Source organism: Homo sapiens, chromosome 3 (assembly GCF_000001405.40).
Source record: "Homo sapiens chromosome 3, GRCh38.p14 Primary Assembly".
NCBI lineage: Eukaryota > Metazoa > Chordata > Mammalia > Primates > Hominidae > Homo > Homo sapiens.
The window spans coordinates 174,885,142-174,911,691 of NC_000003.12; the positions used below are offsets into that span (position 1 = coordinate 174,885,142).

General features: G+C 34.8%; 1 protein-coding gene and 1 long non-coding RNA gene across 22 annotated transcripts in view; both read left to right on the forward strand.

Annotated features, from left to right (window-relative positions):
- The window catches only part of NAALADL2 (N-acetylated alpha-linked acidic dipeptidase like 2), a 1,369,567-nt gene that overhangs the window by 444,160 nt on the left and 898,857 nt on the right, over positions 1-26,550 (forward strand). For 3 of the 21 annotated variants that reach the window (XM_011512612.4, XM_017006081.3, XM_011512615.4), the window contains exon 1: positions 12,415-26,361. The exons of 17 other annotated variants lie outside the window; for them this stretch is intronic. In XM_011512612.4, coding sequence (XP_011510914.1) covers positions 26,289-26,361 — 73 coding nt within the window. In that variant the 5' untranslated portion in view covers positions 12,415-26,288. Of the gene's footprint in view, positions 1-12,414; positions 26,362-26,550 lie in introns of those variants that run through there. One more of the 21 variants, XM_011512617.4, reaches the window with a different exon arrangement.
- On the forward strand, positions 1,345-9,987 carry LOC107986027 (uncharacterized). The gene is made up of 2 exons (XR_001740533.2): positions 1,345-1,836; positions 4,226-9,987. It is a non-coding gene; the product is annotated as an uncharacterized LOC107986027 (long non-coding RNA).

A 26,550-nucleotide genomic window follows, 5' to 3' on the forward strand; every position in this document is an offset into this window, starting at 1 on the left:
CCCAATTGCAAGTTGTAGGGTCCCATTCTTTCCCAATCAATGCCCTCAGTAGACACCTGGTGAGGCTGTGCATGCACCTTTCATTGCAGGTCGGCCACTCGCATGATAAGATCTTGTGTCTGTTTTTCCACAATTTCAGCTCTTTGTCTGTAGGAGATAAGACTCTCATTCAGGGCAATTTTAGCAGATTTGAGGCTCAGTATCTGCTTCTGAAGCCGGGAGAAGAATCGCTGAGTTCATCATTTTCTTTCATCACTTTGTCCACTGAGCTTAGGGGCAACCAAGCAGCTTCATTATGTTCCTTGGTTCTCCACATATGGTCAAAGGTATTATGTATAGAGTCACTAAACTCCTTGCCTCCCACGAATGATGAATCAAGAGTGTCAAATGCAATTATTTTGTGTAATTCTCTAAACAGTTTATGCCAAGGAGTATCAGTGTACTCCATACTATTAGAAGTAGAGTTCTTTGCATTTTGGGGTCTAATCATATTAAGCAGCCAACTCCAGAAACCCCAAAACTTACAAAAGAACTCCATCCTTAATATTCTGTTCCTCTAGAAGCACCCCTGGTACCAAAATCTGTATTAGTCAGGGTTCTCTAGAGGGACAAAACTAATGGAATATATAATATAGTCTAGCAGTAACTAGCATAAAAATTAAGTATTAACTCACACAATCACAAGTTCCCACAATAGGCCATCTGCTGAGGAGCAAGGAGAGCCAGTCCGAGTTGTTTTTTTTTTTTTTTTTTTTTTTTTTTTTTTTTTTTTTTTTTTTTTTTTTTTTTTTAGATGGAGTCTCCCACTGTTGCCCAGGCTGGAGTGCAGTGGCTCAATCTAGGCTCACTGCAAGCTCCGCCTCCTGGGTTCACGCCATTCTCCTGCCTCAGTCTCCTGAGTAGCTGGGACTACAGGCACCTGCCACCACGCCCAGCTAATTTTTTGTATTTTTAGTAGAGATGGGGTTTCACCATGTTAGCCAGGATGGTCTTGATCTCCTGACCTCATGATCCACCCACCTTGGCCTCCCAAAGTCCTGGGATTACAGGCATGAGCCACTATGCCCCGCCTGTCGGAGTTCTAAAACTGAAGAACTTGGAGTCCAGTGTTTGAGGGCAGGAAGCATCCAGCACAGGAGAAAGATGTAGGCTGGGAGGCTAGGCCAGTCTCTCTTTTTATATTTTTTCTGCCTGCTTATGTTCTAGCCATGCTAGCAGCTGATTAGATTGTGCCCACCCAGATTAAGGGTGGGTCTGCCTTTCCCAGCCCACTGACTCATATGTTAATCTCCTCTGGAAACACCCTCACAGACACACCCATGAACAATACTTTGTATCCTTCAATCCAATCAAGTTGACACTCAGTATTAACCATCACACTTGCCATGAGGTGTCCTTATATATTTTAAATATTTGATAATGACCAAGGAAAGAAGAGTTAAGAATGATTCATTTTATCACCATTTTTACTGGAATAGCTATATTCTCCTGGTGCCAGACTCTGTTTTAATGATTTGAAATACAAATACACTTTTCAAAGCGATATTCATTTTTCTCCCATGCATCTATAAGCCTCTTTAAAAAGGGTGAATGCTATTAGGTGAAGTTGATAATAGCAAAAATGAGTGGTGGAAATTTAACCCTATATTTTAAATGTAAATCTTAATTGGGTTCCAGCTGACACTGAGCCATGTCTACCTACTTCTCCTTTTATATTATCATTTCATTTCTATTGGGTCCTTTGGCCATGTCTTTAAAAAGTACTCCACTCACTCTCTTTTCCCTTCACAGTAAGCAAAGAAGTAAATCCTCCAATCAAATAAACAACAGACAAACGTGGGTACATTTTTCAGCTGTATTTCTACTCTAATAATCAAGCTATAACTCTCTCTTCAATTAGTACCAAAACTCTGATGCTGTAGCTTATATAAGGAGCTTCCATCTTCTTGCCTGCCATCTGCCTAGCCTTCTACAGCCTGATTTCCTTTGCTATTATTTTGCTGCTGTCCTAGATGGCCACTCATTGAAGTCTAGAAGTTTGTTTTAGGCATCTTCCTTTTTGCCTGCTCTACAGCACTGAACACTAAAATTGTCTAATTAGTTAAATGTAATTTAGATGATCTTTGTTAACCTTATCAATGTCATTATCACTTAACTACATACTTGCTTGCTTCTTGAACATATATAATAATTGATATATAAAGAGATTATATGTTTATTAATCTCTTTATTAATGGTATTAATCAATTATATATGTTCTGTTTATTAGTAGGTCACCATATACATTCTTCAAATTTATCCTTGTTATTCATTTTCTGAGTTTAATTTAAAAGTGAATTATGACATACTCATCTATTAAGTATTTTCTGACAGCCAGTCATGGTGGCTCACATCCATAAACCCAGCAATTTTGGAATCTGAGGTGGGAGGATTGCTTGAGCCCAGGAGTTCATGACCAGCCTGGGCAACATGGCAAGATCTCATCTCTACAAAAAACTTAAAAAAATTAGTCGGGCTTGGTGGTGCACACCTGTAGTTTCAGCTACTCAGTAGGCTAAAGCAGGAAGATCATTTGAGCCCAAGTGGTCAAGGCTGCAGGGAGCCATTTCACAATACTGTTCTCCAGCTTGGGCAACAGAGCGATACCCTGTCTCAAAAAAATTATTTTTGCTTGAGCATCTTTTTTTTTTTTTTACATGTGGATATAGTGATGAAAAATACATATAATATTTCTGTTGTCATGGAGCTTGCATTTTAACAAAAGTAAGATAGACAATAAATAAAAATACAGAAATGAGATTATATCAGCTGATGATCAAAGTTATAAAAAATAATGAGGTCATGGGATAGAGAGGGAGTGTATAAGGAAAGCTGATCGCTTTGGATACGATTGCCAGGGTGGATGTCTTACAGGATATAATATTGACCTGATTTCTAAATGATGAAATAAGCCAGCAATGTGAGGATCACGGGAAAAAAGTATCCCTAGCAGAGAAAATTGCAGCAAGAGACAAGACCTTGAAACTTTTTGACAAAGAAAAATTCAGAGTCTAGAATGTTATCAACAAAAACGAGAGCTGTGCAATGATGTCGTGGAAGAATAGGCAGTGGCCATACAACAGAGGGTTTTGCAGCCTTACAAATTTGAATTACATTCTAAGTATAAAGAGAAGTAATTAGGCCTACAAAGTGAAATAATGACATGAGTTGATTCCCATTTTGATCAATATAAGACAGGAAATGCTCACTTACTACTGTAAAAATAGGTTACTGTTATTGGTGAATGTAGTAGTCTTCAGCTGAAATAATAGGCTCACTTCACGCAAAGTTGATCAAATACTTTCCATCTGCTGCTTCTAAAGTTGCTCTTCAATAGTTTTTATTCCATCCCATATTTCTAATTTCCACATACAAAATGATGGCTTTGCTTACGTTAGAACGTGACCCTAAGAGAGAGCCTGGTATCCGAGGAATCTGAAGTAGTGACTCCTATCATTCGGGGCATTTATTTTATCAAGCTTATCAACCTTGCGCTCTGAGCATTTGTATTCTGTGCTTATGTTCTATTGTCTAGCAGTAACTAGCATAAATATGTAATTATATGGTTTGTTTTGTTGGTAACAGATTTCAAAATACTGTATTATTATGGTGCTGTTTGAATTGTGTTTACCATATCGGCATAAACATATAAATTGAGTCAAAATATTTGCTTGGTTAACTGCAAACCACAAGTTATTACAGTGTTGTCAGTTTAAAAATGTTGCGTGACAATAAAACCATTTGATTCTCTTTGTTCAGATTTGAATCTCAAAAAACTTTGTCATTGTTTCCTATAATATATTAGGCACAACTTTTGGAGAAGGCAGTTGATATATTCTGTAGCACCTTGCAAGGGCCCTACATAACTATTTAAACACGTTTCATAATTTCTACAGTGACTCGTGCCTTATTGTAGTGGATAACTTCTGTTTAATTTCAAAATATATTTTCCCTTTGCCTAAGCCCCTCAGTCTTCTAACATATACAAAACCAAAAAACCATTAGAAAATTCAAGGTATTTATATTAAAATGTTAACATTCTTTATGATGTTTCCTTTACTTTGAGTTTTCATTAGGTGACCCAACCATACTTTAAACTGCTGTTAGTCTATTAGGCAATAAAATTGTTTATAATCCTTGCTGTTTTATAATCTCTTTTAACTGCTTCTCTTTTCTTTTTCTTCAGGGTTTTAAATAAAGACAAACAAAAGGATGTGGGATTTACACCTGGCTTTTTGTAGCCATGTGATTCTACCACCTGCCTTTAGTTCCCTGCTTCCTCTCCTGCTGGACGCCATTGCTATTATTTCCCTGCTTCACTGTCTGCCCTGTGTGTGCCCTTATATCTCTCATTCCCCATCCTCACTTCTCTGCTTCCAGTGAAGAAAAGGGAAAATCTAAAATCAGATTTAACATTGAGAGCCAGATGACAGAGTATTTTATCGTATAATCCAAGCACTAAAAAAAAAAATGGCACTAATAATTGACAAGGCATGACTAAATTGCCTTGCCTTTCCATGAAAGAAGAAAAGAGACCTCCTAGAAATTCAATTGATTATTTTAATTCTTTTTCTGATCTTATGATTCTCTCCCTCCTTGATACCTGTATTTGACTAAGATCAACATTCATGTGATTATATGAGAATTCTGTCAAATGGGTAAACAGACAGTCTTCTTAATGCTAAAGCAACTGTGAAATAAGTTTCTTTTCAGTTTATGGTAAATAAAAAAGCAAGTTTCCCTGAGGACTGGCAGCTCAGATGTGAGTGTGTGAATTTTTCCCCTTCAATGTTTCTTAAAAGAAGTAAGTAGAGAAGTTCGCTGTAGTACGCTACATATGAGTTCAGGCCATGGTTCCAAATTGTAGGGGAGCTAGAGACCATGAATGTCCTTGAGATAATATCGGTACCATCACTCTAGAACATTGTTTATAACCATCACGATGACGTTTCTAGTAATCTCTCATAATATCTTAATGAAATAGATTATGTATAGTAATAAAGAAAAAGAAATTTCTGCATTTGACATTATTTAGTTGAAGTTACAATATATTGAGAAGTATAAGGAACAGGGTAAATTTGAAATGGAGAATCTCATACCATTCATTCATTGAGTGGTAGGAGTTAATGAGCTCCTGTTATATACAGAGAACAGTTCTCTGGGAGATAGCAAAATAAATAGAACACTGTTCTTATCCTGGATGAGTTCAAAATCTAGTATCAAAGACATGTAAATAATAGTAGCATAAAATGGCTGTATAAAAGAAATATTTTGATTGGGGAAGCTAAATAATTAACTGTTGAGGTTGATTTTTAGAGGCAAAAAGAAGTATTTTTCCACATAAGAAATACAGACAGAACAATTGATAATGAAGATGTAGAATGAATAAGCACAGAGAAATATGAAAGGTGAAGTGGTTGAGGGAATTACAAATTGCCCAGTGTGGCAAAAACTAACTTGCCTGAGAAGGATTAGCTAAGAAAAGTCCAAAAACAAGTGTGAGAACCTTTATATTCCATCAAATCATTAACATATGCATAATATCAGATAGTGTTTGTTTATATATCATTTGACAGGGTGTATGTGGTCAAACTCCTGCTTTTCTTGATTCTGTGAACAATAATTACTAAATAAATATAAGATAGGAAAATCATAAAAAATATTGATTTCTTTATTTGTGAAAATCAACCACTTGTGGAATTCAGATATTCAAAAAGTTTTTTCTGGCCATTACTTAATTGCTACTGTCTCTTGGAAATAATAATATATGAATAAGAAAATTATTTTTTTATTATGATAGGAAACTATCTCTTCTAAATATAGATACTTAACTACTTAAGAAAAATACTAGTAAATAGAAACTAGAAATATTGTAAATGAATTCCATATCACAAATTATACTCTTAACCAGGAATGCAAGGAGGTCTTCAGTAATAATACATTTTATTAAGTAATAGATAAGTAACGCAACATTTCACTAGTTGGGAAACATTCGCTTATGTTAGTAACCATTCTTAATAAAATTGAGAATAGTAAAATATTTTTGGCATGTTAGAATACACTCTAAGGTGGCAAAACAGAAAGCTCCACCAATCATCATCCCTTACCCACAAGGATACCAAGTTAACAACTATCTACACAGAGAAACACCTTATACGAACCCCAAATCATGTGAGCACTCACAGTACCTGGTTTTAACTTTGTATCCCTGAAAGAAGAACTGAAGATATAGAAAAAACAGTCCAGAGTCACTGATGCCACCCCTCCCTCATCCCCCAGCAGCAGCATGGTGCAGAGAGCCTCTCTGGGTGCTGGAGGAGGGAGAACACATTTGTGAGGCATTGAACTCAGTGCTGTTCTGTTGGCACAGAAAGCAGACCCAGACCAAACTCAGCTGACACCGCTTACAGAGGGAACATTAAAACCGGGCCTTAGCCAGAGGGGAATCACTGATCACACAGGTCTGAACTTGAGTTCTGGCAATCCTTGCCACTTAGGTCCAAAGTGCTCTTGGTCTCTAAGTAAACTTGAAAGGCAGTCTCTGCCACAAGGACTGTAACTCTTAGGCAAGTCCCAGGGCTGAACTTGACCCAGAAGCAGTGGACCGGGGAAATACATGACATACTGAGACACCAAGTATGGCAGCCAAGAGAGTGCTGGCATTAACCCTTCCCTAACCCCAGACAGCACAGCTCAAAGCTGCAAAAGAGACTTCTTCCTTCTGCTTGAGGAGAAGAGAGGGAAGAGTAGGGAGGACTTTGTCCTGCATCTTGGTTACTGGCTCAGCCACAACAAGGTATCTCTACAACGCTGCATGAATCACAGCATTCCTGGGCTTGGGGTGCCCCCTAAAGCAGAAACTGCTTAGTTCACAACACCCAAGTTCTTTCAAATATCTAGAAAGTTTTCCCAAGAAGAACAGCTACAAATAATATGAGGCGGTAAAGACTACGATAAATACCTAACTCTTCAATATCCAGACACTGAAGAACATCTACTAGAATTAACATCATCCATGAAACATGACCTCACCAAATCTACTAAATAAGGCACCAAGGACCAATCCTGGAGAAACAGAGATATGTGACCTTTCAGACAGAGAATTCAAAATAGTTGTGTTGAGGAAAGTTGAAGACATTCAAGACAACACAGAGAAGAAATTCAGAATTCTATCCGATAAATTAAACGAAGATATTGAAATAATTAAAAAGAATGAAGCAGCAATTCTGAACCAGTGTATTTGAAAATATACTGTCAGAGGAAACAAACAAACAAAAAAGACAAAAAAAAGTACATCTGTACGATCTAGAAAATAGCCTCAAAAGGTAAAAATCTAAGAGTTATTGAAGGTCTTTAATAGTATATATGGAAAGATACAGGGATAGAAAATTTATTCAGAGGAATAAGAGAACTTCTGAAACTTAGAGAAAAATATCAATATCCAATTACAAGAAAGTTATAGTTCCAATGCGGTGTCTCACGCCTGTAATCCCAGCACTTAGGAAGGTCGAGGTGGGTGGATTGCCTGAGCTCAGGAGTTCGAGACGACCCTGGGCATCATGGTGAAACCCCATCTGTACTAAAATACAAAAAATTAGCCAGGTGGTGGCATGTGCCTGTAGTCCCAGCTACTCGGGAGGCTGAGGTGTGACACTCACTTGAACCTGAGAGGTGGAGGTTGCAGTGAGCCAAGATCACACCACTGCACTCCAGCTTGGGCTAGAGAGTGAGACTCCAACTCAAAAAAAAAAAAAAAAAAATACAAGAAAGTTGTAGAAAACCAAGCAGATTTAACCCAGATATGACTAACTCAACACATTTAATAATCACACTCTCAAAGGTCAAGGATAAAGAAAGGATTCTAAAAGCAGCAAGAGAAGAGAAACAATAACTTAAAGTGGACCTCCAATATGTCTGGCAGCAGACTCTTCAGTGGAAACTTTACAGGCCAGAAGAGTGGCATGACATATCTAAAGAGGTGAAGGACAAAAACTTTTAAACTAGAGTAGTATATCTGGCAATAATATCCTTTAAACATGAAGGAGAAATGAAGACTTTCCCAAACAAAAGCAGAAGGATTTCATCAATACCAGACCCATCCTACAAGAAATATCAAAGGGAGTACTTCAACCCCCCCCCGCAAAAAGTTATTATTGAGCAATAAATAATCACCTGAAGGTACAAAACTTGTAATAGTAAGTACGCAGCAAAACACGGACTATGATAACACTGTAGCTGTGGTGTGTAAACTATTATAATTCTAAGTAGAAAGACTAAATGAGGAACCAATCAAAAATAATAGCTACAACAACTTTTCAAGACATAGTCAGTACAATAAGATGCAAATAGAAGAAACAAAAAGTTAAAAAGGGTGTTGCATGTAATTAACATGAGTTTTTCTTAGTTTCCTTTGTGCTTATTTGATTGATTATTGATGCAAATAGTGTTAGATTGTTATCAGGTTAAAATAATGGGTTATAAAATAGTATTTGCAAGCCTCATGGTAACCTCAACCAATAAATAAAAAAGATAGAATGAGTACACAAAAAATACAAAGCAGGAAACTAAATTATATCACCAGGGAAAATCATCTTTACTAGAAGAAAACAGGAATGAAAGAGGAAAGAGAAGACCACAAAACAGCCAGAAAACAAATCACAAAATGGCAGGACTAAGCCCTAACTTATTAATAATAACATTGAATGAAAATGGACTAAACTCTCCAATACAAAAATGTAGACAGCCCAAATGGATTTACAAAAACAAGACCCATTGATTGGTTGCTTACAAGAAACACTTTACCTGTGAAGACAAATATAGACTGAAAATAAAGATATTTCTTGTCAATGGAAACCAAAAAGACCAGGAGTCACTGTACTTAGAGAAATTAGATTTTAAGACAAAAACTATAAGAAGAGGGAAAAAAGTCACTATATCATGTTAAAGGGGTTAATTCAGCAAGATGATACAACAATTTTAAATATATATATGCACCCAATATGGGAGCACCCAGATATATAAAGTAAATATTAATAGAGCTGTACAGATAAATAGGTCTTCTACAATAAGAACAAGAGATTTCAACACCCCACTTCTGGCACTGGACAGATCTTCCAGATAGAAAATCAGGCCGGGCACAATGGCTCACGCCTGTAATCCCAGCATTTTGGGAGGCCAAGACGGGTGGATCACCTGAGGTCAGGAGTTTGAGACCAGCCTGGCCAACATGGAGAAACCCCATCTCTGCTAAAAATACAAAAAAAATTAACTGGGCGTGGTGGTGCACACCTGTGGTCCCAGACACTTGGGAGGCTGAGGCACGAGGATCGCTTGGACCTGGGAGGCGGAGGTTGCAATGAGCCGAGATCATGCCACTGCACTCCAGCCTGGGCAAAAAGAGTGAAACTCCGTCTCAAAAAAAAAAAAAAAAAAAAAAAAAAAAAAAAAAAAAAAAAAAAAAAAATCAGTGAAGAAACATCAGGTGTAATCTGCAGTATAGACAACATAGATCTAATAGATATTTACAGAACATTTCATCCAAGAACTGCAGAATACACACTCTTTTTCTCAGCACATGGATTATTCTCAAAAACAGACCATGTTTTAGATCACAAGAGTCTTAAAACATTCAAAAACCTGAAATAATATCAAACATCTTCTCTGAAAAATATAGAATGAAACTAGAAATAACAAGAGGAGTTTCAGAATCTATACAAATACAGGGAAATTAAACAATATGCTCCTGGAGCAGTGGGTCAATAAAGAAATCAAGAAGGAAAGTGATAAATATCTTGAAACAAATGATAATGAAAATACAACATACCAAAACCTATGGTATACAGCAAAAGCAGTACACAGAGATAAGCTTATAGCTTTAAGTGCCTACATCAAAAAAGAGGAAAAACTTTAAATAAACAATGTATTGGTGCATCTTAAAGAACTAGAAAAGGAAGAGCAAACCAAACCCAAAATTAGTATAAGAAAAGAAATAATAAAGATCAGAGCAGATATAAATGGAATTAAAATGAAATAAACAATACAAAAGATCAATGAAACAAAGAGTTGGTTTTTTGAAAACTTAAAAAAAAATTGACAAAATTTTAGCCAGATTAAGAAAAACAGAGAGAAGATCTAAAAAAAGTAAAAATAGAAATGAAAAAGGAGACATTACAACTGATGCTGTGGAAATTTAAAGGATCATTAGTGGCTACTATGAGCAGCTGTACGCCAATAAATTGGAAAATCTAGCAGAAACTGACAAATTACTAGATACATGCAACCTACCAAGATTGAACTGGGAAGAAATCCCAAACCTGAACAGACTCATAACAAGTAATGAGATGGTAGCCATAATACAAATTCTTCCAGTAAAGAAAAGCCTGGGACCTGATGGCTTCACTGCTGAATTTTACCAAATATTTGAAGAATAACGAACACCAATCCTACTCAAACTACACTCAAGAAGAGAGGAGGAGGAAATACTTCCAAACTTATTGTATGAGGCCATTATCACCCTGATATCAAAACCAGACAAATACATCAAAACAAAAAAACGAAAGCAAACAAACAAACAACTGCAGGCCAATAACTCTGATAAATATTGAATAAAAAATCCTCAAGAAAATACAACCTGAATTCAGCAACACATTAGAAAGATCATTCATCATGATCAAGTGGGATTTATCCCTGAGATGCAAGGATGGTTCAACATATGCAAATTAATCATTGTGATACATCATATCAACAGAATGAAGAAAAAAATATGATTATTCCAATTGATGCTGAAAAAGCATTTGATAAATTTAACATCGTTACATGATAAAAAAAAATCTTAAAAAACTGGGTATAGAAGAAACATACCTTAACATAATAAAAGCCATATATGACAGACCCACAGCTAGTATACAAAAAACTGAAAACCTTTCCACTAAAACCGGAACAAGCCAAGAATACCACCTGTCACCACTGTGGTTCTACATAGTACTGGAAATCCTAGCTAGCACAATCAGACAAGAGAAAAATTTAAAGGACATCCACACTGAAAAAGAAGAAGTCAAATTATCCTTGTTTGCTGATGCTATGATCTTATATTTGAAAAAACCTAATGACTCCACAAGAAAATTATTAGAACTGATAAAAAAAATTCATTCAAGTTGCAGGATAAAAAATCAATATACATTTTGATTTTGTTCACAATGATGAACAATGTTAAAAAGAAATAAAAAGGTAATACCATTTACAATAGCCACACATAAAGGTAAATACCTAGGAATTAACCAAAGAATTAAAGGATCTCTATGATTAAAATTATAAAACACTGATGAAGGAAATAGAAGAGGACACCACAAAATGGAAAAGTATTCCTTATCCATGGATTAGAAGAATCAATATTGTTAAAGTGTCCATACTACCAAAGCACTTTACAGATTCAATGTGATCCCTATCAAAATACCAATGACATTCTTCACAGAAATAGACAAAACAATCCTAAAATTTATATGGTTTATATGAAACTACAAAAGACTCAGAATAGCCAAAGCTCTCTTAAGCAAAAATAACGAAACTGGACGAGTCACATTCCTGACTTCATATTACGATACAGAACTATAGTAACCAAAGCAGCATGGAATTGGCATAAAAACAGACACATAGACCAATGGAACACAATAGAGAACCTAGAAACAAATCCACACAACCACAATGAACTCATATTTGATAAGTTTCCAAAAGCATGCACTGGGGTAAAGACAGTCTCTTCAATAAATGGTGCTGAGAAACTGGGATATCCATATGCAAACAAATGAAACTGTGTCTCACCATATACAAAAATAAAATTGAAGTGGATTAAAGACTTAAATCTAAGACTTTAAACTATGAAAACTACTACAAGAAAACATTGTGGAACTCTCCAGGATATTGGTCTGGGGAAAGACTTTTTGAGCAATACCCCAGAAGCACAGACAACCAAAGCAAACATGGACAAATTGAATCATGTCAAGTTAAAAAGCTTCTACACAGCAAATGATACAGTCAACTAAGTGAAGAGACAACCCATAGAATGGGAGAATATATTTACAAATTACCCCTCTGACAAGGGATTAATAGCCAGATTATATAAGGAGCTCAAACAACTCTATAGGAAAAAAATAAAATAATCTTATCAAAAAGTGGGCAAAATATTTGAAAAGATATTTTTCAAAAGACAACATACAAATGGCAAACTGGTAAAAAAAAAAAAAGTGCTAACATCATTGATCATTAGAGAGGTGAAAATCAAAACTAGAGATATAATTTCACCTCAGTTAAAATGGATTATATCCAAAAGACAGGCAATAACAAATGCTGGCAAGGATGTGGAGAAACAGGAACCCTTGTACATTGTTGGTGGGAATATAAATTAGTACAATCACTATGGAGAACAGTTTGGAGGTTCCTCAGAAAACTAGAAATATAGTTACCGTATGATCTGGCAGTCTCACTGCTGGGTATATACCCAAAATAAAGGAAATCAGTGTATGAAAGATATATCTGCACTCCTATAATTGTCACAGCATTACATACAATAGTTAGGAGCAACCTAAGTGTCCATCAACAGATGATTGGATAAAGAAAATGTGGAGTCCTATTCAGCCATAAAAAAAGAATGAGATCGGCCGGGCGCGGTGGCTCACGCCTGTAATCCCAGCACTTTGGGAGGCCGAGGCGGGCGGATCACGAGGTCAGGAGATCGAGACCATCCCGGCTAAAACGGTGAAACCCCGTCTCTACTAAAAATACAAAAAATTAGCCGGGCGTAGTGGCGGGCGCCTGTAGTCCCAGCTACTTGGGAGGCTGAGGCAGGAGAATGGCGTGAACCCGGGAGGCGGAGCTTGCAGTGAGCCGAGATCCCGCCACTGCACTCCAGCCTGGGTGACAGAGCGAGACTCCGTCTCAAAAAAAAAAAAAAAAAAAAAAAAAAAAAAAGAAAAAAAGAATGAGATCTTATCATTTGCAATAACATGGGCAGAATTGGAGATTATTATGTTAAGTGAAATAATCCAGGTACAGAAAGACAAATATCACATGTTCTCACTTCTTTGTGTGACCTAAAAATCATAATAATTGTACTCATGATATAGAGAGTAGAAGGTTGGTTACCAGAGATTGGGAAGGGTAGAGGGGGGTTAGGAGGAGGGTAGATAGATAATGCGATAATAATAGATAAGTAATAATAAATAAATTAATAATAAATAGAATGAATAAGACTGACTATTTGATAGCACAACAGGGTGACTATAGTCAATAATAACTTAATGGTATGTTTTAAAATAATGTGAAGAATATAATTCGATTGTTTGTAACTCAAAGGATAAATGCTTGAGGAGATGGACATGCTATTCTCCATGATGTACTTATTTCCAATTGCGTGCTTGTGTTAAGTACATATCAGGTACTGCATAAATTTATACATCTACTATGTACTCACAGTAATTTAAGAAATAAATAAAAATAAAAAATTATATAATGTATGAAAAAAGACAGTCACTAAAGTATTCATAGAGCCATAGATTATATAATTTCATTTATGTGACCTTCAATAATTAGATAAAACTAAACTGTATTTTTTGGAAATAAATCCTGGATGGTAAAATTCTAAAAGAAAAGCAAGGAAAGTATCTTTGTGGAGGAAGAAGTAGTGATTAAGAGAGCACAGAGGATGGGCTTCCCTGGTACTGACAATGTTGTACTTCTTGACTTGAGTAGTAGTTGCATGGGTGTTCACTTGTCATTAATCATTCAGCCGAACATGTTTATTTTGTGCACTTTTCTGTATAGATATTATATTTTACAATTATGGAGTTTTTAAAAGGAGACTTTTTATTGGCAAGGAAACATATTCCTGAAGTATCATGAAGTGAAAACAGTTTACAAAAAAGATGCAAACTAGAACCTCAGCGAACATTAAAACTACAAAGACATTACATACAAAGTGCAAGAACTAAACTAGGATGCTATTATTAACTAAATTTTATGCTATTATTATCACTATTAATAAAAATCTTTTAAAATTTTTATTAGAGAAGAAAGACATGAAAGAGAAATGAGTAATATATAGAAAGAGAAAGGATAAGAGATAATTATTTGCATATGATACAGTTTAAGTATTTGGCCCCACCCAAATCTCATGTTGAAACATAATCCCCAGTGTTATAGGTGGGGCCTGGTGAGGGGTGATTGGATCATGGGGGCCAATGTCTCATGAATGGTTTAAAGTCCTCCCCTTGGTGGTGTCCTCCAGGTAGTAAGTTCTCTTGAGATCTGTTTGCTTAAAAGTGTGTGGCACCTCCACAGTCTCTCTCTTGCTTCTGCTCTGGCAAGGTGATGTGTCTGCTTCCCCTTTGCCTTCTGCCATAATGTAAGTTTCCTGAGGGCCCCTCCAGAAGCTGAGCAGATACTAGCATCGTGATTCCTGTACAGCCTGCATAACCGTGAGCCAATTCCACCTCTTTGCTTTATACATTACCCAGCCATGGATATTTCTTTATAGCAATGCAAGAATGGCCTAACACAATATAATATAATTTTTCCTGGGAAAGAATTTCCAGTGTTTTTTTCTATGAATTCCAAGGGCATATGCTTACACGGCCAGAAAAGAACAATAAAATCAGCAAAATGCAAAATTTACAACCATTTCTACATTTCTGAAAGTCCTGACAGTAAAAAAAAAAGTTCTATTCCAAAAAGCAACAAAAAAGCTAACAATTTCAAAATAACTGTTAGCAAGATAAGTGTAGGTTCTTTAAATAAAAATTTAAAAAACTCTTATTTTATATATTAATTTCAACCAAATTTCAGTCAATATTTGTTTAGAAGTTTGGCAAAACAAAAATAAAACAAAACACAAATATTAAAGAAAGAACTAAGGGAAAAGATATTGAGGAGAGAACCAGTTCTACGAGATATTACACCATTTACAAAGCACCAATAATTAAAATATTAGGTAATTGGCACAAGAATAGTGAAAACGTTAGAATTTTATAAACTATCACAATTAGCTTTTATTATAGATAAAATGGACAAGTTAGAATCACAAAATTGGGTAGATATACTAGACATGCAATCTCAATTCATGCTTTTACCAAAATAAATTCAGATTTATTAAGGGGTTAAGTATACTTTTAATCAATAACAAATAAAATCTTAAATAAAAATAAAACAGCATGTTTGCCTGTCAAATTAGCAAATAAAAACAATAGAGTACACTGGTGGTAGTTAGGATAAATGAAATAGGTACATGTTTCTATGTGAATGTAAATTCATACAATTATTTTGAAAGACTGTTTTGCAATATAGATAAAAATCCTTAAAATTCTATGTCAATATTGATCAGAGACTTCTGATAACCTAACAAAAAATTCTAATTCATAAATAAGCTTTTATATGAAAGACAGCATTATTTACATACCATAAAATTATTTGTAGTATAATCTAAACATTTTATACCTTATGTTCTCATATAAGTCAAACCTCAGAAAAAAAACATAAAAATAACTAAATTTTAACAGAGAGTACATCTGTGATAGAATAACTGGCTACTTAAAAAAATTAACATTGTATGCATGTATTTTTTTAATGATAAAAATATGCCCTTTTTAAAAGCAGAAAAATGTTCACTAAAACCATTGTAAAAGTAAAATACATATCAGTAAGCTTCTTTAGAGTTCCTTCCCCTATACTTTGTCATGACTCTTTAACCTAAATTTATCACTTAATTACTCATTGAAAATATAATTTTGCAAAAATCAATCTATAATCAATTTGTAGACAGAGGGTTGAAGACAAAGACACTTGAATATTTGGATGTTTTCAATTGGAATCAGTGTGTCCAACTGTATGATAAAATTAAACTAATTTGACCATTTTATTTATTTAAATCTATGATTCCATGCTTGTCACATGTCTAGGGGTTAAAAGTGTCAGTTGTGAAAATGTGATTCATTAACATATGTTTGAGAGAGTGTTGATGGTGTTTGGACTTACCAATGATGTGGCAAGGAATAATTTTAACATGTATCAAGGAATGTAGTTTTAGCTGATATAATTCTATGGGGAATTTATCAACCATTTCCAAAATATTTGTGTGATTGATTATCTGAGATATAGATGGAGCTTGTGAGAAGTACATGAGCCCTGTCTCTATGGGCAATGGAAGAACGTGGGTAGGAGGCCTAATACCCTCCTAACCAAAAGATACGAAGGTGATTAACATGAAGTAGGCTTTAGGATATTGTAAGCTTCATTAGGGGCTGGGCTTCTAGTAATCTTTCATCAAATACAGGGCTTCAGGTAAATGTCTTTGAAAACATAGCTTTAATGTGAAGCCAAATGGGATCACCTTTTCTCAGTCCAGTTTTAGGCCTCAAGATCTTCTTGTAAAGATAAGCTGAGTTTTTTTTCAGTAAACCTTGAATAGTCAGCCCTTTATCTAGCCAGCTGCAAAATCCAAGGACTTGCTGCCACATGCCATTTCCAGTCAGGTCAGAAAGAAAGAATACTGGAGGTTATGGATGGTGAGTGGGTGATTTGGTGTACTTAGATCTGTAACTACAATTGCTGGAATGGGCCAATGATCATGAGCACTAATTTGAATGCAGGCAAGTCTAAGAGAAAAATACATTTTTGCACATATATGCATGGGCTTTATGTTGTGATTTATGTATGGCCCCAGGATTAGCTTCCTTACAGAAGAACAAGAGACTGTAAATGTTCTCTCAAATGATCCTCTATTTTGGAAAAGGTGTGGCTATCTGAGAAGAGAATGATGCAATTTGTCTCTAAAACAGTGCCCCTAAAACTATAATATATACACGACTTACGTGGGAATCTCGTTTAAATGCAGATCCTGATTGAGGTGGTCTGATGCAGGGCATGATCTACCGCCCAGGTGTTGCTGATGCTGCTAGTTTGTGGACCACTCTTTGTGTAGCATAAGTCTAAGAGAAATAGCTAAACCCTTTTGTCCCATCTTTATCATATCTTTTGATATTATATAGCAAAACAGATACATCCAATAACCTATGTCTGTCTTTTTGACCATATACTTAAACTCATTGACCCTCTATTTATAAATTTCTAAAACAGGTGATAACTCTTGCCTTGTGTTATAGAACAGGTTAGAAATAATGTATGTAAAGTACCTATTATAGAACAGATTCTGGCTCATTGTAAATCTCTTCTCCACCCGGTAGTGACTATTAATGTAATTATTACATAAAAGAAAGGGGGGTGGGGTTTAACTAAAATAAGTTGCAACTAATCATTTGAATTCAGACTCTAAAATAACTCAAAAAGACAATCGCGTGATTAAAGATGTACATGAAAGAATATGAGAACCAAAAAAGTAAACATTATCTAGGTTCTATTAATAGAGGTTAAATATCTATATTAAGGGAGATACTGCAGAGACATCTGGAATTTTCAAGGAGATATTATGAACTCAAAAGTTATTTATCTATTGAAACTTGTTACTGAATAATAACAAGTTGGACTTGGAAATACTGTGGTCAACTCCAAGGTTATTATTTTTATTCTGGTATGCTGATGGATAAAGTATACTCAAGGAGGGCGGCACTGATGGTAATTTTTCCAAAGGCATTATCTGAGATATAGATGGAGCTTCTGAGAAATACATGCTTGGGAAATGTTTGAAAGAGGTTAGCACATATTCTCCCAGAAACAAGAAGATTGGACAGAAATTGAGCGCTTAGGCTGAGGAACCATGTGAAAGGAATAAATAAATAGTCTTACCTTTATCATACTCCTGGGGCAAAACTGATACTTGCCAAAATTATATGTTGACAGTTGTATTCTTAATATAAGAAGCTATTTCTAATTTCTCAAGTTTTCCCCCCCAAATAGCCACTATATTCATAAGGTAACTGTTGTTTTAATAGAATGTAAAAGCAAATGCCTTTATGCCATCCCTGCAGGAATTTAGACCAGACTTATGGTAAAACTGAAGAGTTGAGCTAAGATCTTCATTTCTAAGTTCCAGTATTTGAATACATTAGATATTAGCCAAGAAATACTACTTAATTGTTTTTATAGGCACCAACAGAAATGATTTTATAGTAATAAGAAGACGCAATAATCTGTAGTGTTTTAAAGTGTTCAAAATGCTTGTATGCACATTACCTCACTTAACATTTTAGAAATTTATTAATTTGCTAGTGTTTTAGCTTACTCTGCCCTTATAAGGAAGGCTTGGAATGGAGAAGGGCCTGGAAATGGGTGATAGGTTAGTGAACCAATGGTGTTTGTCAATCCCACCTTTTACTCACTAGTCTTTACTGAGTCATTCTAAAGGTTTTGACTTAATAGATACAACTCCTTTTCTTTGTATCTATCTTTTAGTAGTAGTATTTGTAAAAATTAAGTTACATAATTACAATATTAAATTTAACTGGCATATGAATGTTTTGAGAATAAATACAATTGATTTTGACAAGCATGCAATTCACTGGTAAAAACAAAAATCATGGGTATTATTCCAAAATCACTACTAGCTGGAAGGATGCAGTGTTCCCTGGATATTGTTGAATATATTTGCACGGGAAGTTTTCAGGTAATGAGATTAAGTAGTGACTGATTAAGAAAATTAAAACTTTTTCACAGTCATTTTTATCATCATCATCATCACCTATAAATGTACTTTTTTATAAATATGTTTTGGTGTGTGTCCTAAAATCCTTTCTGGCTCTGGAAAGGATATTCTTCGCAGGGCCAGAAAGGAATATCTATATCTATATCTATATCTATATCTATTTCTATATCTATATCTATATCTATATCTGTATCTATTTGAGTTTCTAGATATATATCTATATCTCTGAGCTTATAGATATACAGAGATATATAGTTATATAGATATGGATATATGTAGTTAAACATCTCTAATTTAAACCAGTCTCCTAGAGTAATGCAACATATACAATCCACCTTATTTGGGATCAGTAAGGGGCCAATCTGTGTCTTACTCATCTTAGTGTTGCCAAGAGCCAAAATCTGGACTCAGTAAAGGTTTGTGTTGAATAATTATGATAATGTTAAAGTGTTAGAATGTTACATTGTGTGATATGTTACCAACTTATTAAGAATCTGAGTTCTGATGAATTAGATGTTTATACGTTCTGTATATCTGCCAATGAAGTAGTTAAATCACCTTTATTTATCAGATGGAAAGTGCCTTGAAAGTTTGGCATTCTACGATTTGGCATAGTCTATGAAGCAAGTAAACACCAAAATCAACACATTTCCTGTGTAATCAAAAGTTCCTATACATTACTAGCAATTCTAAATTGTTTTGCTAATTGCACAGAAAGTCTACTAATGCCCAAAACATCAAGAACATACTAACAATCAAATAATAGTAAAAGTAATAGATTGTAAATACTTAAGTGGGAGAAAATTTTGCATGCTTTCCCTGCTAGAGACCAGAAAACATAAGTTTCATATCCTTTTACAAATGAAAGAGCATCCTACTTCTGTTTATGTTAACAGCTGGAGCTACCATTAATTTTATTTTGTTGTTCTCATACTCTTTATAGCTTGAGGCAATAATTCACTCAACTTGTGAAATAGTTACATCACCAATTTTGATGCTCGGTATGTTTTCATGTGTATTTGGTGAATTTCTTTTAAATTATTAAGCATTTTTTTTCTGCATTATGTGGGATAGAGGTAGTTTCAGTATTAAATAATCTAAATTCAGTGTAAGTCATAAACATAGCATTAAAACTTTTTTGATCTTTCTTATGGGATTGCTGTATTGTTATTTTTAAAGCTGTCACATAATTAGTAATTCTATAGCAGTTTTCTTATTCTAGAATGACAGAGTTTAGAAGTAGTCCACTGGTAAAATTTTTATATATTTAAAAATATAAATCGTAATGATCAGTATTTCAAATTTGCTACATTGTATTTAATTCTGGCTTTACCATAAAGCTATCTAATTTTTTCACATTCTAATGATTTATTAATATATAGCTGACAAGATCGAAACCTATTCAATGATTATGCGTGTGTTGTATCATTTAACTTAGTATTTAAATGCTCATTGTTCTGAGCTGCAGCACAAGCAATCAATCATATATTGCTTAATTTGGAATAGAATTTGTTGAGGGATGTCACTTTTCTGGCTATCCCCGCCTCTAAAATAGTTACAATTAAGAATTTTATAAAGTTGATCATAAGTTTCACAATTCATGTATTTTCAGTAGCATATTCGTAAAGTTAAATTGGCATCAGTTTGGTAAAATGGCAGCATGCATTAAACTGTATTTGTGGATAAGTCTTTTTCATAAGACACAGGAAACTATAAGCATTAGGGCAAGTAAAACTTTAAAAATAAAAACATGTAACTCAAATATGTAATTCTGTAATTCTTGCTTCATTCTTTTATTTCTTCCATTTAACAAAGCAAAACATTTTATCTCAGTCTGCCACATTCTAATCTTTTATTTTACTGACACTGTTTTGTGGGAGAGTATAAGAAGTTGATTAATATACCTGAGACAGACAGGATAAATCTCTATTGTGGTATCTGATGTAGAAGGGGCAACCGACTTCTGAGAGAGGCCATCTAAGGAAATGTGTTTTCTGGATCTGAGACATCAAAATTATCTGGGGTTTTATTATAAAGTAAGAAATCTATGCCCATCACTCAAGATTTGATTTAGTACAACTGAGTTGCACCTGGATATTAATCTTTGTTTACACACAGGTAATGTTAAGCATGCTAAAGTTTTGAAAAACACTGATACATTAATTCTTCATTTTTTTCTCGATTCTTTATCATATTGAATACCTAGAAATCAGCATTAACCTCATTCACAGTTTAATACTACAATATAACCATGAAGTGCATTTCTGTATATTGTACAAAACAAACTGTTCAGGACATTGTACATTATATTTCTCAATGATCTTTACATGCCAATTCATATCAAACATTCTTTTAGAACTATAAAAGAAACAAGAAGGTTTCTTGAAATAATGAATCTTTTTAATGTAAGAAGAAACATGCAATCAGCATCTTCATCTCTTTTTGCTTCGACAGTATGGAACTGTGGTAGGCAACCTCTAATATCCCTGCTTCTTGGTTACATACCCTTTGGAATACCCCTGCCTTGAGTATCAGTTGGATTACTACTTGCCTCTGACTAATAGAATACAGAATGATTGATTGAATGTCACTTCTGAGATTAAGTTTTGAAAAGACTGTGACTTTCATCATGGGTGATCTCTCTCACTTGTTCCAAGGGAAGTCAAGTGTATGTTGTAAAGTACCCTCTGGATAGGCCTACATGGCAAGGATTTGAAGAAAGCCTCTGGTTAGCAGCTAGTGAGGAACTGAGATGCTGTTTCCAATAGCCTGCAAAGAACTGAATCTTGCCAACAAGCATGTGAGTGGGCTTAGAAGCAGAATCAAACTCAGTCATGCTTCATATAAGACCACAGCTTCCAACAATTCCCCAACTGCAACTTCATGAGAAACCTTGATCCAGAAGCTCCCAGCTATACCAACCCCCAATTTCTAACCAACAGAAAATGTGAAATAACTTGTTTGATGTTTTAAGTTGTAAAGTTTTAGAATAATTTGTTATGTAGCAATAGATAACAATACAGAAACCAAGAGCTTCATTAATCACCTCACCTCAGATTCTCATATCAAAATTTTTCTTATGTGATCACTAATCTTTCTTCTTATATAATTTTATTTATCACAGGTGAGTTTTATATTAAATTACTTCAAATCCTTTTTAAAAATCAGATGGTTATTAATAGTAAAAAATTTCACAGATAACTCATAACTCTTTGTGCCTAGTAAATCAGGCCTCCCCTAGACCATCTTTGTCATTTAATCCAAATTGAAACTGCAAACTCATTTATATTTGATCTGATAATTAATCAAACTCTTTCTCAGCAGAATTACCTTTCTAGTACTTAGATCAAAATCATTGCATCACAGAATACTAGCACTGGAATGTATCTTAAATATTCTGGAGATCAGCCCTTTTGTTTTATGGATGAGTAATCTTAGATCTAAAAAAAGAAGAAGAAAAAAAAGATACAGCAAATTACCCAAGATGGAGCTGTTGCTTGAACTGAGATCTGATGACTCTTTTCCAGTGCTCATTTGATTCCTTGATCATAAATTTACTGGGTGGTTGAAGATGCTAAGAAGTGTTTTGAGAGATGGGTGATATGTAGCCCAGGTCTTGAACATTTTCATGTATAAATTCCAAAATGGGATAGTTCATTTGTACTAATATTTCAAAACTGCTATCAAATTTCTCATGGCTCTGTATACTATAGAGGAATGTTACAAAAAACATTGAGATTAGAGAAAAACCACGTCCCTAAAAGGTAAACTTATCTGTGACTATTTCTTACTACTAAATAACATTTTATCGAGTCCCTAGTGTCTTCCTTTTCTATGATGACATCACAAAGTTGTTGTACTACCAATGTTCAAAAGCAAAACATTGGTGGTGTTCATTAGTAACATAATTCAGATTGTATTGTGGATCTATTGTGTATAGATGGGAGTTTGGCTCATTTCTAAGTGAACAAACAAAATGAAGATTAAGACAGAGGCACTAAAGTTCCCTGCCTAAAGAGCCAGGTCTTTAATAGTTGACTAGGTGCAAGACTCAGAATTAACTATTTCATGTCAGTGTTATTATGAATGAAGATTTAACAACATAATGTGTACTTTAGAAAGTATCAGTTGCTTTCCAGCATTAAGTAACATATTTCTTATTTATATCAATTATCTCTTTTCGAAAGAGAGAAGTTGGTTTTTTTTTTTTTTTTTTTTTTTGGCCTGAGATAAAATAATTTCCTTTATCTCCCACTTGATTTTACAAGTGCTGACTAGCTCTTGCTAGTTTTATGTAATTGCATGGAAAGTTCTGGAATACCTCTCTGGTTGCACTTGGTGGTGAAGTTATTACACAAATAAATGCCAGGAAGTCAGTTATTTGCTTTCCTATTACTATGCACTGTTGGAGGCATTACTATCGTCTCTTGTTTAAATAAATTTCACCATGTCTTCACACCCCCAGGCCTAAATTAAATCAAAGTAGTTTTAGAGCTCAAGGACAGAATAAGTCACTATGGGAAAGTGGGACAAAGGAAATCAAGCACGCCAGATGGAAAGTTCAGACTGGCCAGTATCTTTAAAATGTCAGTGCTGTATAAAAAGGCTTTATAAGCCATCAGTCAACGATGGCTCTAGAAACAGGCCAGTGGCTACAGAAATTAGGCTTTTTTCACTAAGCCTTGAAAATTTATTTTCAAAGTGGGTTGAATTTTAGGTCATTTGTGCGGGTATATCTAATGAAGAGAAAAACAAAGTGATGGAGAAGGAATTTCTAATAAGATCTTAGTATTCATTAGAAATATAACCTCTTGCTTTCATAATTAATAGGATCTGAAGTTAATTTAATAAAAATTTGACTTATATACTAAAACAGGCAAGATTTGAACCTGGCTTTATTAAGTTTTTATTTTAGTTTACATGTTTGTTTCAAACAAGATTAAAAATTAAGAATTAAAAATTGATGTTTGTCTGGATTTTTACAACCAATTATTAGATCTATGGCAGGTATCCAGCCATTTAAAAATAACAGTGTAAAGCAAAGCCTCTAATTTTAAAGAAGAAAAGGAATCCGAAAGAGGGATGGCTATAGCAACCTTGATGATAAAGGAAAATTTGTGCAGAAAAGCCTGCAGTAAACAGATTTTCTTAGACTTAAGGCATGTCCTTAGTTTATCATACTCAGAAAAAAAAAAAAAGATCTCCTTAGTTGTGTAGCTATTTCATCTTAACTGAATTCACAGTAGCTAAAATATGCATGTAACAGTATTAGCTAAATTTATAGGCTAGGCACGGTGGCTCACACCTGTAATCCCAGGAGTTTGGGAGACCCAGGCAGGCGGATCACCTCACCTGAGGTCAGGAGTTCAAGACCAGCCTGGCCAACATGGTGATATACCGTCTCTACTAAAAATACAAAAATTATCCTGGCATGGTGACGGGTGCCTGTAATCCCAGCTACTTGGAAGGCTGAGACAGGAGAATTGCTTGAATCCCGGGAGACAGAGGTCGCCATGAGCCAAGACAGTGCCATTGCACTCCAGCCTGGGCAACAAGAGCAAAATTCCATCTCAAAAAACAATTATAGAGCACTCTATACACACCAGACACTTGTGCAAACTCATGATCATATATTTAACTGTTAAAATAGTCCTTTGAGGTAGATACTAGTAATGAGGAAATCATGATAAACAATCTGTATTAACAAATCCCTGCTTTATATCATTATCCCTACTCCAAGATTTCTAATATTGTTGAAACATTCAAAATATGGATTGTGTGGTGGGTTAGTGCACAGACTGTGGGGTTACCTACTTGGTTTCAAATACTGGCTCTGTCACGTTCTAGCTATGGCACTTTAGATAATTTGATCTCTTCCTACTTTTGAGTTTCTTCATGTATAAAACGAACTCTAAAAGGACTATTCTGAGGATTAAATGAGATAGAAGCTGTAAAACTATCTGTAACAGAACCTAGCACATAGTATGAATGTCATAATTGTCAGCTGTTTTTATTATTTCGATTTCCTTTAGGATTCCCAGGCAAGAAATGCACAATTGTAACATTTGTAACATTTGGTTAATATATTTAACTACACAAGTTAAGTATTAGAAGATATTTTTTAAAATATACATTTTCTGCCTTCAAGTGTCATATAATTCAAATAGAGATTATAAAGAATCACATATGCAATGTATTGTATTTGCAATGCTTTCTGCAATACTGTAGCACAAATAAAATATAATTTTATCTAAATTGTGTTCATCAGAGATTTTAATCAGAATGTAGTTGATTTTTTAGAGATTGGCTTTAAGAATAACTTTATTTTAATAGTTTATATACATATATATATATCACATAGAGATCGTCAGAAGGTTAGAAACAAAAAAGTGTGAAGAGTAAAGTAAACATTACCCATAAATTAACAATCCAGATTTTTCAAAAATTACTAATATTTTGGCATGCTAACTTAAAGTCTTTGTGTGTGTGTATAACTATATATTTTAAAATAACTGCATCACTTTTTACATAGAAATTTGTTATCCTTTTTTCCACTCAACATTATTTAATAAAAAATTTTCCAGTTTATTAAATGTGGGTCTGATGAGTTAGCTAAGGAAAAGAGAATAGTACTCCTTGACTTTGGGGGTGGGAACTGAGGAATAAGCAGTAAACATAAGAAAATAGTGAGTTTTATTTAGTGAATGGTGAGGTAATTTATTTGGTTTTAAAATAGCAGGAAAGGTAGGAGTTAATTTTACATATGCAGGTAGGAGTTAATATCCAGTCCTGCAGTCCAGGCAGGATGACGCTCTGTGGAATAGTGGGACGAGCAGTGGGGAGTGAGGGGCCTCAGTACACACCATATTAGTCATATTCAACACTTCAACAATATCAAGTTTGTTAATTGATGGCCACTTCACCTGTGACATGTGACTTGACCCTCCTCTTCCCTTGTTTCTTCATCTTTAAAATGTGACATCTGAAATATGGGCCCCAAATTAATAATGTACCATTTTAGGCCAAAGCTATCCCATGACTATTGCCTAGAACGGGAGAGGTGAACAGAAGAGGTAGGGGCTGTGAATGCTTTCGCAAAACTGACAAGCAGGGCGAAAGGGAAACTCTGGAATATGAGCTTCCAGGCTGCACTTGCATCTTGTTTATCTCACGGTTCTCAGGGGCCACCACCTTACCTGGCACACCGAATGTGCCTGAGGAATGCTTGATGCACTAAACCACAAATCAGTGCAATGGAATTGCCATCCCCCAAAAGTCCTTTTTTAAGATAAGAACGTATTTTCTGAAGTGGATTCTGATAGCTATTAGTTTTGGTGGTCTGGAGTATGCTTTTACTCTTTCTCCCTGATACTGGCAATAGAACACATAGGTCCACAGGTTTGGATATGAGACTAGGTTCTTGCTAATTGTATAGTCCGCTTCATTTTGACATAGTGACTGATTCATAAGGGTAGGACAGTCAATCAAATATATTTGTAGAATTAAATGTGGAAGAAAAAATATTTGTGCATTTGGTTAAAATATCAAGGACTGGATTTACCCTCTTTCCAGAAACAAGTAAAAACTGTATACAGCATTTGAAGCAATGGCACTCGACATTGGCATGAGGCAGTGGATGGAAGTGATTGCTAGAAGATGGATAATGAAAGAGGTGACTGGTAAGAGTGCCCCAGTGCACTGCCTGCTACAAATTGCAAGCTGGGTTTAGGGAGGGGCAATATAGGCAGAGCAAGACTTCTCCCAGCATTGAGAAGGAGCTGGGAGTTTGGGAAAGCCCAAAAGTCACAAGAGTTTACATTCATTTTTATTGCTAAGCTACTTCAATTTGGGTTTCAGTCATTTTTAAT